Here is a 12,136-nt window from a genome sequence, read left to right on the forward strand (position 1 = left end):
CCCATACCAGGAGATGGATTGTGGCCAAGACAAGCCGTACGATGGCGCTCTCCATAAACACTGTCGGAATCTGGAGCAGCACGTGTTCCTTCAGCAGATAAAAATGGCAAAATGAGAATGGCACACATTGTTTTGCAAAGGTCGGAATAAGACTCCACGTTTTAGGAAGTGACGACGAACCGTCTAATTCTAGGATGTTGAATTCTGCTTGGCCACGTTGATGTATTTAGTAGTCGTTAAATTTGTCATTGCAACTGGGTCTGGATTCTGTATATTCTTTTTTCTGTTATGTAGAACTGTGTGGCTGGAGAAAGCAACTTTGTCTTTAGAATAAATACTTACACTTATTTCTAAATATAATTACTTAAATGAGAACTTAGCGTCTGACATGGTAAATATTTTGTCTTAAATTGTACCAATTGCCACATGATATCCACTCCCAACATGGAGCAGTAACCCAGGGATGGGAGGGAAGGGATGACTCTGGCGCTCCAGCTCACTGTCACCTGCTGTCAGGCCATGTCCTTCATCCGCTGCATGCGCATGGTGCCCCAAGCGCAGGGTTGTTGTTTTTTTTCTCTCCTTCCTTTCTTTTGTAAACTGTACCTCTGACAACATTGGCATCGCTCTGATCATCAGACCTTTGGGATGCTGGAAGATGGGGGGTGCCGTGGAGTTCTCCACAGCACCAAGCACTTCACTAGTTGATGGTGGGTGTTCAGTAAGTACTCACAGAGGGAATGAATGAGCTCAAGCAAAGTGATGCCAACTACAGCACTAAAGCAAACAGGAGGCAGATGGCATGCACAGTTCATACATGAAGAGACACCATTACAAGGGAAACATAAGGAAAATATTCAGACATTTTAGATTTTAAAGACAAACAAGATTAGCAACATCACCATTTTAAGCTTTTGCTAAAAAACTGTAGAGATAGGAAAACCCACTGTTGATGAGATTAATAACTGATATCTGCAGAGGTTTTACAGTTTACAGAGTGCTTTACATAATTTGATCATTATATTAACCACATGGGGCATACTGTTATCATTATCACCATTTCTTCATTATTATTATTATCCACTTAGAAATTATGGACTAAATTGCTTTAAAGATGCCCAGGTTCCATCTTCTTTTAGTTACTGGTCATTAAGAAAATTAATTAGCAACATATATCATGAATCAGAAAGATATATTATGCTGTTTGTTCCAGTAATAACGCTGCTGAGAATTTCTTCTAAGGAAAATTCAAAAGTAGAAGATGTCCTTTGCAGTGTTGTTTATAGCCAGAAATTGGAAACAACCAAAACTATCCAGAAGTAGAAAAATGGTGATATAAATTATCTACATTAAATCAATAATGTTACATATCTAAAATTATGAAGATTACATAACAACATGGGGAAAATGGTTAGGAAATCATATTAAAGAAGTGTATAAAGTTATATCTTTTCTGTGGCCATAACCAAGAACAATGTATGCATATGTTCAATAAAAAATTGATCTGTTAGACGAGATTTTGGTGGATTTAGTTTACATTATTTGTATATCTGTACTTTTGCCAAGTATATTTTAACAGTACAACAAAATAGGCCCCCATTATTTTTTTCCTTGACATCATAATTTAGAACAGGGAGAAAGCAGCATACAATGAGCTGTTTCTACGTTGTAGGAAAGAGCTGTGTAATTCCAGGATGTGGAATCCTAAGCCTGGCCACGTTGCTGTATTTAGTAGTAATTACATCTGTCATTGTGACTAGGTCTGAACTCTGTACTCTGTCTTGATAAACATAACATGGAAAATCTCTTAACTAAACAAAAGGTATCAAGAAACACCAGATTTGTGTCTTCCTAGTAGATATGTTGAATTGTACTCTTTTACAAAACAAGTATCACAGGATGCAGAGTCCCGAATGCCTACATCTTATAAGATACTGAATGTGTCCTTGGAAAAAAAATCCTCTCAGCCTGAAATTCCACTTGCCAAAAGCAAGGCAGATCTCCAATGCAAATACAGGAGCGAATGGGCCCCATTCACAGGCCTTAAATCGTGTGTCTCACTTTTTATGGTAGTGTTGTGAATTCTGTTCTTTTTGGGTTTGTAATTAGAGGACAGAACAGATGGCGAAGGCCTAGTTTGAAGTGATGTGACTGTTAACGTCGCCTCCTTCATCCAGTTGTGATTCCAGGGAACCCGGTTTTCCCACACATGCGCACAACGGGCGTGGTGCAGCTGTAGGGTTTGCAAGGTAGCCGCTCACGCTGAGTTTTTACAGCATTTGAAGCTGCCTGTGAATGAGATTGGACCGAAGAAAGCCGTCCCTGGATGTTTCTAAGGGTGAAGGCTCCATAGGGGAAGGGTGAATTCTTGTCAATCATATTCCTGTAATTAGGATTTGTTAAAATAGAAGGTATACAATTCTGCAGTGGGAATAAACGTCTGTTTTACACTCAAGTGCTCATAGAATCCTTTTTGGCTTTTTCCCCGCCCTCTTTCTATGTACATGAAAGTTCCTATCGCCATCACCAAGAGTTGCTCCTCTTTTCAGGCTTACTTAACCAATAAGTCAAATGCCAGCTATTATTTTCCTAGTTAAATGCTTTGGTGAAGTTAAGTCCTATTTGTAAAGACAGACCAAAATTGGAAGGCGCAGGGAATGAACTTTTGTATTTTGTTATTGTTATTGTAAAGATTTGTTGATGAATCTTTATTTGAATGCTATGAAAAGCCATCATTTCAGAGTATATTTTTAAAAATCAGAACAGGCTATTTTTAATGTAATAAGCTAATAGCTTAAAAGAGGGATTCTGTCTTTGATGTCATTTGGTGGATGAAAACATTCTTGTTCAATAGAAAACCAGCATCTTTTTCATGCTCATTTGAGATCAGTTCAGGCAACATACTGATATTCATTCAGATATAAATGCCATATTCACTTTGAAATGCAAATTGTGTAAAGAAAAATAGCATATGGTGGAGGTAAGTACCTTTTCAAATCAACTCTTCCACTTTAGGGATATAAGTACAGCTAAAATTATTCTTTGGAAAGAATCTGGCGCTTTTGACACATGGAAGCTTGCACTAATCAAGGCAGCTCAGTAAGCACACACACATATCCATATCAAGGAAGTGGCGCAGCGAGGACATGGATTAGCATGGTAATGCAGTCACCCCCTGCTAATCGGGGCGAGTACCAGCTGATCCGTAGATGGGGTATTTGAGGAAACACTCTTTCTGAGTTCAGAATGGGCCATGTCGTCAGTCATGTATTTCATGGTAACGCAAATAATATTTGGGGGACGATGCCGAAAAGGTCCTTTTATGACTGCCTTCCTGTGGAAGCCAGCATCCTATACTGTTTGGGGCTGGGCCACTTTTTAAGGACTTATTGCTGGTACAGCTGTTTCCTTGTACAACCCTGTTCTGTCTCTTACACTTCCTGACCTGACCTCTGCATTCACAAGCCATTCCAATGACATTTTCTAGGTTTTTGGATAAGTGTTACTGGTACAACATACACATAAGACGCACAGAATCATAAGTCATAGCCACGTTTACAGGGGCCGCCACTCACATCCAGAAGCAGCAGGTAGCCAGCCCTCATGGACCCCTTCCTGTCCCGTGCACCCCCACCCCACCCCACCCCACTCACAAGGGTGACCACCATCTGATTTCTCACTCCGTAGATGGGTTTCGCCTGTCCTTGGACGGGATCCTAACAGTTGGCACTCTCGTGCTTGTCTCCGGCTCTGTGTTCTGTGTGTGATGTCACCGCAGTTGTGGCCCGTGTCAGTAGTTCCTTGTTGTCATTGGGTAATGTTCCGTTGTGCCGTGATGTACCTACAGTGATGGACAGTGCCGTCATTCCCAGCGTGGGGCTGTTATGAGCAGTGCTGCTCTGAACATTCTAGCACCTACTTTTTGGTGGCCATGTTTATGTGCATCTGTATGATTTAAATCTGAAAGATGTGAAAGGAGAAGAGAAATCTTAAAGGAGGAAAAAAAAAGAAGTGGACTTGAAATGTTTTATGAAAGCTTTGCATCCAGTAAGTCAATTAGAAGAGTGGTGTAGGTTGTCCTGGGACAGCCCCGAGCTTAGGAAACCCCCGTGTTTAATAAGAGCACGTAAGCAAGCCTGTCCAAAGTTTGCCGTGGAGAGTGACATTTACTGTCCCAGACAGCAAACAGATGTGCCCCCCTCGCTGGGAGTAGACACTACCCCTGTCTCACCAGTCTGTTCATTCTGTCAACATCCCTTGCAAGATACTACCTTAAGTCTAAGGTAGTATCTTAAGGTAGTATCTTAGGTAGACTTAAGGCAGTATCTCCCCTTTCCATCTATTCTTTATCTAGATGGGCCTAATTCCAAAGTCTAAAAGCTGCAGTGTCCCCTGGAGCCTCTCCTGTACCTTCCAGCAGCGGTGGGCTCCCTGACCCTCATACTTTCTGGCTGCTCTTGTGTTACTCTGCCTTGCGTTTGGGCCACATGTGGATCTGCTGTATACCTTCTACTAGACTAGATTGTAGGTTCCCTAAGACAGGGACTCCTTCCTTCATTGTGCCCAATGCAGTAGGGGCTCAGTTCCATGCGGCTGCTCGGCCCGCTAGAAGGTCAATGTTAGAATAGGCGGCAGCTTCTGCATACCGGGTCCCATCTTCCCCTACTCGCGAGTTAGCAGGTTAGCCTGCCCTAGGTTCCTGGGTGATGAGACTCCTGGATCAAAATGAATGACAGTCTCTTGCAGCAATAGCAATAGTGAGAGTATCAGCATTGTCATGCACTGGCTTCCCAAGCCTCAGTTCCCACAGGGTGACACCAGCACACACAGTAACTCATGTTGTAAGAGGAACCCCAAGCTTAGGAAACCCCATGTGTTTAATAAGAGCACGTAAGCAAGCCTGTCCAAAGTTTGCTGTGGAGAGCGACATTTACTGTCCCAGACAGCAAACAGATGTGCTCCCTCTTAAAGTAGACATTACCCCTGTTGTACCAGTCTGTTTACTCTGTCCACATCCCCTGCAAAATAACACAGAGCAGAGAGCACCTGCCCGTGTCCACACCCAGAGGAAGAAGAAACTGAGGCCCGTGGAGAGCTGGCTGCCAGCAACAGTGGGGTGGGATGTGCTGGTAGCAGCAGGGAGAGTGGAAGTCAGGGAAGGATGGAAGGGAAGGGAAGAATGGAGAGTACTCACCCCCCAAAGTAGGCCACATCCTTGTACTTATCCCCGAGTATAAGTGTACCCTCGGCTTCCGGGGTAGAAGCTTCCTTTAAGACCCTTGTATTTGCGCGTGACTTGAGGTTGGTGAATTAGGACCACTTGTTAGACTCACCTCGTCTACTCCAGGAAGGAGGGCATTCTAATCTGGCTTTTACAATCTCCTCCTTCTAGGGAAATACAGACATGCCTGCAAAGAACATTTCCAACGATGGTGCGCAGAGTTTTCCCACATCTAAACGACCCCAGCTTCATATCTTACTCCTTAGACACGGGAATGAAATTCTGTAGCAAAACGGCTGTGTGTTGAGGTGGTCCCTGATGGAGACAATCCAGAGGCTCTCTTTCCTGGGCATTACTGGGGCTGAGGGTTGGGGCGTGGCTTCCTGCAGACCCCACGCACCTTGCAATCCTCATGGCATTTCTGAATGTAGCTCTATTTCTATTAGCCTTCCTGAACTGGCAACTTTAATGCCTGGGTAGCAAGCACTTGGGCGTTTCCTTAAACTCACCGTCTTAGCTATCAGGTCTAGGTGTGAAAATGTGATTTAACTAATCAACACAGTAGCAGCAGAGCTTGGTGTCTTTGTTGACTGTCGGCGGCCACGTGGGTTTAGGTCCCCTGCCCTTCAGCCTGGTTGCTGGGTATGAGGCCTCCACCTCGGCAGGACTGCTTCGAGCTGACCTGGACTGTGTTTAGAACAGTGTTTGGTGCACTTGTATCCTAGCTTGTCTTGATGTCAGGATCCTTACCCCTCAAGCAATCAAAAAAGTTATCCAGCTTGTTTCACAAATGAGAACTTCAGACCTTCAGCCTTAATTAATAACTCATTAACGTGAAATGAATTCCAGTGAGTGAAAACAGTTGCCCTCGAGTACTTTGAGTGAGAATACAGTGATTTTAAACAGAGGCTTTTTTTATGCTTAAAGATATTTCCAAAAGTGTTCAAAACTCCTGTGTGGTAACACATAGGGCAGGTATTGCTTGATGCTTACATAACAAAACTGGATGCCAGGACAGCATTAGTAGGTCAATTAGTTAATGACATTCATTCAAGAACAGAAATGAGATTACATATTAGACTCTGTATGCATATCTGTATCAAAAAATGCATGAGAAAGTATGACACTATAATTGGATATGGAATGTGCATGATTATTAAAAAGATTCACTCCACATTTGGGGGTGGTTCGTTTCTTTGACGGGTGGATTTACTGAAAGTAAGTGGAAATGCCTCAAAACTGTGGCCACTGGCCTGGGACTGCTGACACATGGCACGAGATGCTCCATGGGCGTGTTAACCCAGCATGGCAGCTTCCACAGTGTCGTGGCTCAGGTCGTGGACCACTGGTTTGCCTCAGAGTTTAAGCAGATGTCTTCATGCATTTACGTTGAAAGGCAGGTACTGTGTTTGGATCCCAGAAACAATATTTCTGACCCTGTGTAATTTTTTTTAGTCAAATATGTTTCTGCATTATCACACAAAATACTTTTGTTTTCTTTTGTTGGTTTTTCTGAAAGAAAATTTAAGTGATCTCAAATATAGTGAATGGGTATATTTTGAAACAGAGATTTACTCCCTTAAGAGAAAATCGGAAATGTTTTGCTTATGGAATGAGCCTCCTCCTCCGCATATTTTTGGAAGGTCCTGACCAGAGGTCAAGAGTGAGGTGGGTTGAGTGCAGTGGGGTGTGGGGAGGCAGGTGTGAGCCTGGGCAACCCCGGAACCCACTCAGATCCTTCAGACAGATCCAGAGAGAGAGGCTGTCAGCTCTTTGTTCATAAACACAGGCCCACAGCTCCCAGATGCTTTCATTTTCTAAGTGATGCCAGAAACCACCAATTTTTAAATGAAATCTCCCAATTTAATTCTACTTTGAAAAAAATGATCAACTAAGTAAAAATGTCTCTATGAGCTCAGCCTGGACGTCAGGCGATAGTCTGTGGATCTGATTGAAAGTTTCACCTTTATCACGGTTTGTCCATGTATACACCTTGATGTGGCCCAAATTCAGTCATGCTGTTTCAGTGTAGTCCCGCAGTGGGAAGTGGGTGTGGCTGGGGCTGGGGGGCCTTCACGAGCTATAGGGCTCTAAGAGTCTGCCGTCAGAAGGATTGTGGATAGCTGGTCTGGTGTCTTCCATCTGGACACCAGGAGCATGTGGTCTTGCCAGGAGGTTCGTCACCCCAGAGGTTCCAGGTTGGTTCCTTGGGGACTCTCTCAGGAGGCAGAAGGTGGGCTCTGAGCCACACCCTCAGAGCTGCTGCACCAGCATCTCAGTGGATTGGACTTGTCCTTGTATTTTGATGGACAGACAGAAGTTTGAAAACCAGTACATTCACAGCAGCATTCACAGCAGAGTCCTGTTGTTTCCTAGTGTGTAGGCTTGAAGGAATCTCTCCCTTCCTTTTTGGCAGTGTGATGTTTGGCCATGAGATGAAGAACTCATAAACCTAAGATGAGTTCTTGATCAGCAACCTCCATTGGAACATTTCGTGGTCCCTTGTCTGGGGTTGAGATTGACTTGGCTCTCCTTACTGTGTGTTGATACTTACTTCTGGAGCTTTATTGCAAGTAGTCAGTGATGGATGCACTGAAATACTGTCCTCTGCCTTTTAAAGGAAATTGTTCTGGAAGGTTTCTAGGCCTGGTTGTCATCGGAGAACCACTCTCCAGGGAGAAGGAGCAAGAGAAGCGGTGCTCTATTGAGTGCCATGTTGTCATCGTTGTCCCAAAGATGGAGGGACAGACAGACACAGTGAAATTCCTTTTTGTTTTTCAGGTATTTGGACCTTGTGTGCCTAAAGCTGGTATAAAATGAGGTCTGTGGACAGATGGCATGCTTAATAATGACTTGACAGGGGTCTGATTGGGCATTGCAGTGTGGAAGGAATTACCTCCTTATCATCTTACCTACACAGCAGGTGTCCCTGCAGGTAGAGCAGGCCCAGAAGTGCCTGGCACAGCAGTCAGGGTCCCAGCAAGGGAGGTGCCCCCCCAATCGCACCCCCAGCTGCTTGCAGGCATCTTGTCATTGTCCTTTTCCACCTTTGCGGAGTCCTTTCGCCCACCATAACAGTGTCAGCAGTGTCTGGAAGCCTTTTGTCTGCTCAGAATTCACGTGATGAAAGCGGAACCAGGCCAGGGAAGCCCCGGCAGCCACTCTTGGGAGGCGCCTCCTCCCCAAACGCACCTTCGATGGGTGGATGTGTGGGATTGAGAGAGAGAAGGGGAAGAGAAGCACACAGGACAGTGCAGGCACCAGGGCTGGCAGAAATGCACCAGGACAACCCATGGGCCCCAAGGGCCAAGGAGAGAGGGGGTCACCCAGCAAGACAACTGCTCGGGGAACGAGCCCTGGAGTCAGCACCCACCCTCACCCTCCTCTCTCCTTTAGATTCCTGCCATGCTCACCATTGGTTGAGCCCAGTGAGAAGCTAGAAGGTGCTGGAGCCAACAGGTGCAGCCCATATGGGTGCCTTCCCAGGAGGAGAGCAGGGCGGAGAAGGGATGTGAAGGGATGTAGCAGGAACATGGTGGGCACGGGCTCCAGGAGGGGGTCCCGAGATGGGAGTATCTCCTCTGCTCCTCAGGGATGCTGCCTTCTGTGGGGTCTGAATGCCCTATTGTAATAGGGATCTGGCTAAGGCACACAATACCCAGAGGACAGCCACAGGGTGGCTTCGATGGTGGCACGTGGAAAATACAGGGAGGAGCATGAGTGCTCCCCTTAGTGCCATGTCGCCAGCTCTGGGCTGCTCCTCCACGTCTCTTAAGATGCCACATGCCTGGCCCACCTCCCCCGGCTGCTGTGAGGCCTGGTGCAAGAGCAAGCATGGGAGCACCACATGGCACTGTCATTCAAGATGTGGGCTCCAAATGACGCTGTGTGTTTCTAGGGCGTTAGGGCACGCCCATGCCCTGAGATGGAGCTCTCAGAACATCAGGGCTTGGGGGCATGAGAAACGGCCTCAAGACCCTACATGTAAGCAGGGGAGCCCAGACCCGAGGCTTCCGAGCCACTGCCCTCGCTCCTCCCACCTGAGCCCCTTGGATGCCAGTGGTCTGCCGTGGTGGAGTTTTGATTGTGATTTTTTGTTTTATGGTGGTGACTTTCTGGCTGGAGTGGTTTTTTTAATTAATGTGCACACAGATTGCCTGGGATCTTACTAAGAGGCAGGTGGCAGGTGGGGCCTGGGATTCTGCATTTCTCGAATGCCTCTTGGCGATGCTGCTTCTGTAGGTCCGAAGACCACAACCTCTGTGGCTTTCCGATCCTTCCTTCCCTGGGGCATCACTGTGGGCTTTTTTCTGGAATCAAGCAGACCTGCCTATGAATAATTTCCCTTATGACGTTCAGAATGTACTCAGTTCAGACAACAGCATAAAATAGGTATCTTTTCTTTTTTTTTAAGGCAGAACTCTATTCTTCAAAGCCAAACGCCTCGTCGTTTGTTAATCGCTGATTGGGTGTAGGGCTCGTACACTACGCTTCAGCTCGTGGTTCCGTGGCTTCCCAGTGCTGCACGGGATCGCAGTGAGGCCGCTTGTTTGAGGGGAGACCTGGTTCCTGCCTCTGGCTTCTCATCCATATCACCGGAGTGCTTTTGAAAATGCATCTTTTCCCAAGCCCCATTCCCAGAGCTTCTGAATCAAAATCTGTATTTTTTGAAGCCACTAGTTCTAAAAAGCTCCACAGGAAATTCTGGTAATTGGCCAGATTTAAGAACTGCTAATATGGGCTGCGTATTTATTATAAAATCCTGCACTGTGAAAAACTTATGTTGAGACAGCTTAGAACTTAGCTGGTTCTGAACTAAAACAATTGGAAGAAAATTTTTTTTAAAAAAGCCCCAGTACCTCCGAAGATCTGCAAATAGACCTAACAGACTAATTCGCTGGCAGCAGGGTATGATTGGCTGAGCTTTAGAGAAAGGCACTTAATTATGTTTTTGAGTCTAAAATTGGTATGACCAGATAATAATTCATTTTGATGTTGAGCAACTGATTCAAATCATTAAGTATACAATGGAATCATTTTTCATCACAGCCCCTGTGCTCTATGAAGTCACGCAGGTTGTTTTTCCTCTGCTTAGTCTTTTCAAGGTTAAGAGTAAACTTATCTGGTTGAAGAGCCTGCATTTCCTCCGTGTCGTGTCTAGGGACTTTGATTTGTGTTGATCATAAAGTATGGCTTCCCCATGAAAATAATCCTCTGGCACCAGACAGTTGACTCTCAATGGGTGATCATTTTCTGTTCCATTGGTAGGGTGACATGGCCGGGCTCCTGGAGCCCCCATCTTGCCGGCCTGCCGGATCGCGGTGTCTCTGCTAAGACTCGCTGGGTCTTTTGTCTTCACTTCCACTCGATGTTGCGGTTGCGGTTGGGTTGCGTCTTTGTATAGGGTTGTTCGGTGCGAGCCATCTGTGGCATCGGGTCCCTTCACATTGCTTTGTCAGGCACCATCAAGATTGGCGTCCCCCTTTTATTCCTCCCGAATAGTTTCTGTCTGGCGCTTCCGTTTGCCATGCAGGCAGGACAGGGGCTGCTCTCGGTGGTAAGGTGCACTATGTGCCAGCGTGTGGGTCCCATAGACTAACTCGCGCTGGTTTCTGTGGTCTGCAGTCCGCGGTGGTGTTCACCTGACTTGTTTATTCCTAGGGAATGTCACTAGTGCATCTGGGTCTCAGATGGCAAGCGGCATCAGCCTGGTCTCCTTCAACAGCCGACCCGACGGCATGCACCAGCGCTCCTACTCAGTCTCCAGTGCCGACCAGTGGAGTGAGGCTACGGTCATTGCAAACTCGGCCATCAGCAGTGGTAAGAGGGGGCTCAGCCCCACGGACCCGCAGCCACCTCAAGGTCCTTCGTTGTAAGCCAGGGGCTGGACAGGACGCCCTAAGCTCTCATGCTCCTCTGGGAGCGCAGCACCCTGTGGGGCGGCTGCATCAGAGACTCACATCTTGCCTTTCATCTGTGGAACGTTTTGTCCTTGCTAGGCTGTCTTGCCCCTGTCATCTCATCTGTTCCTCTTTGGCACAGGGAGGAGGTAGTCATCCCATTTGGTCAGTTTGGAAACTGAGGCGGCAGACAGGGCAACTGGCTTACCCAGGGTCACGTGACAGAAGTGGCAGCGCTGAGAAATAAGATCTGATTTTATCTCCCCAATCACACTGCCCTACGTGGCGTGGCCCACACTCTTCCACCACTAGTGCACATTTTATATCATTAGGGTGAATTCAGTCTCCTTGTCTGTTTTCCAGAATTCCTGGTGTACCCTCTAAATTCTGGAGTCCCCTTTGTAATCCTTCAGTTTTCAAATTCCTTTGGCATTATTATTATTATTATTATTTTGACAAGTGTATCCAGCTTTTTGGGGAATAAGCATGCACGTTGGAAACGATCTCGCCGTCTGTGTGGAGCGTGAATGACGCAGCACCGAGGGCACCCTGGTGGCTGCAGCAGGGTTTGCCTGTGGCGTTTTGTCTCTGGCCTGTTCACCGGTATTTAAAGGAATTCCCACTGTTGTATGTAATCTATCAGACGGGGTTTTAGAGTAATCTTAGCATAATTTGTTCTAATTAAAAGATTCAGCATCAGGTCTTCCCTGTAGACCCACCAGCTGCTGCAGCAGGACGTTTGCTTTGGGTAAACATCATCCTTATTTCTAGTGGCTCCGCAGACGCCACCAAGCAGAAGCCTTAAAGGAAGACATCTCCAAACCAAGCCGGGAGACGCGGAGTCAGCGAGGTAGCTCCACACCATAGCGGTGCGGGTCTGGAAGAGCCTTGTGACTTGGAGCAGACACACACAGCGTCACGCGGCTGCCCCGGCTGGCCCATTCCCATCCCAGCGCCAGGGCTTGCTCCTTCCCTCAAAAGAAGGTGCTTTGTTAGATAGCAAAGATCTGCCTGC

At 46.4% G+C, this 12,136-nt stretch overlaps 1 protein-coding gene across 4 annotated transcripts in view; it reads left to right on the top strand.

The window, feature by feature from the left end:
• The window catches only part of AGAP1 (ArfGAP with GTPase domain, ankyrin repeat and PH domain 1), a 637,751-nt gene that overhangs the window by 425,840 nt on the left and 199,775 nt on the right, over positions 1-12,136 (top strand). For 2 of the 4 annotated variants that reach the window (NM_001037131.3, NM_001436125.1), the window contains exon 12: positions 10,883-11,041. The exons of the other annotated variants lie outside the window; for them this stretch is intronic. In NM_001037131.3, the coding sequence (NP_001032208.1) occupies positions 10,883-11,041 (159 nt within the window). The remainder of the gene's footprint in view (positions 1-10,882; positions 11,042-12,136) is intronic. 4 annotated transcript variants of the gene reach the window in all.

The sequence above is a fragment of the Homo sapiens genome, chromosome 2, assembly GCF_000001405.40.
Source record: "Homo sapiens chromosome 2, GRCh38.p14 Primary Assembly".
Taxonomy (NCBI): domain Eukaryota; kingdom Metazoa; phylum Chordata; class Mammalia; order Primates; family Hominidae; genus Homo; species Homo sapiens.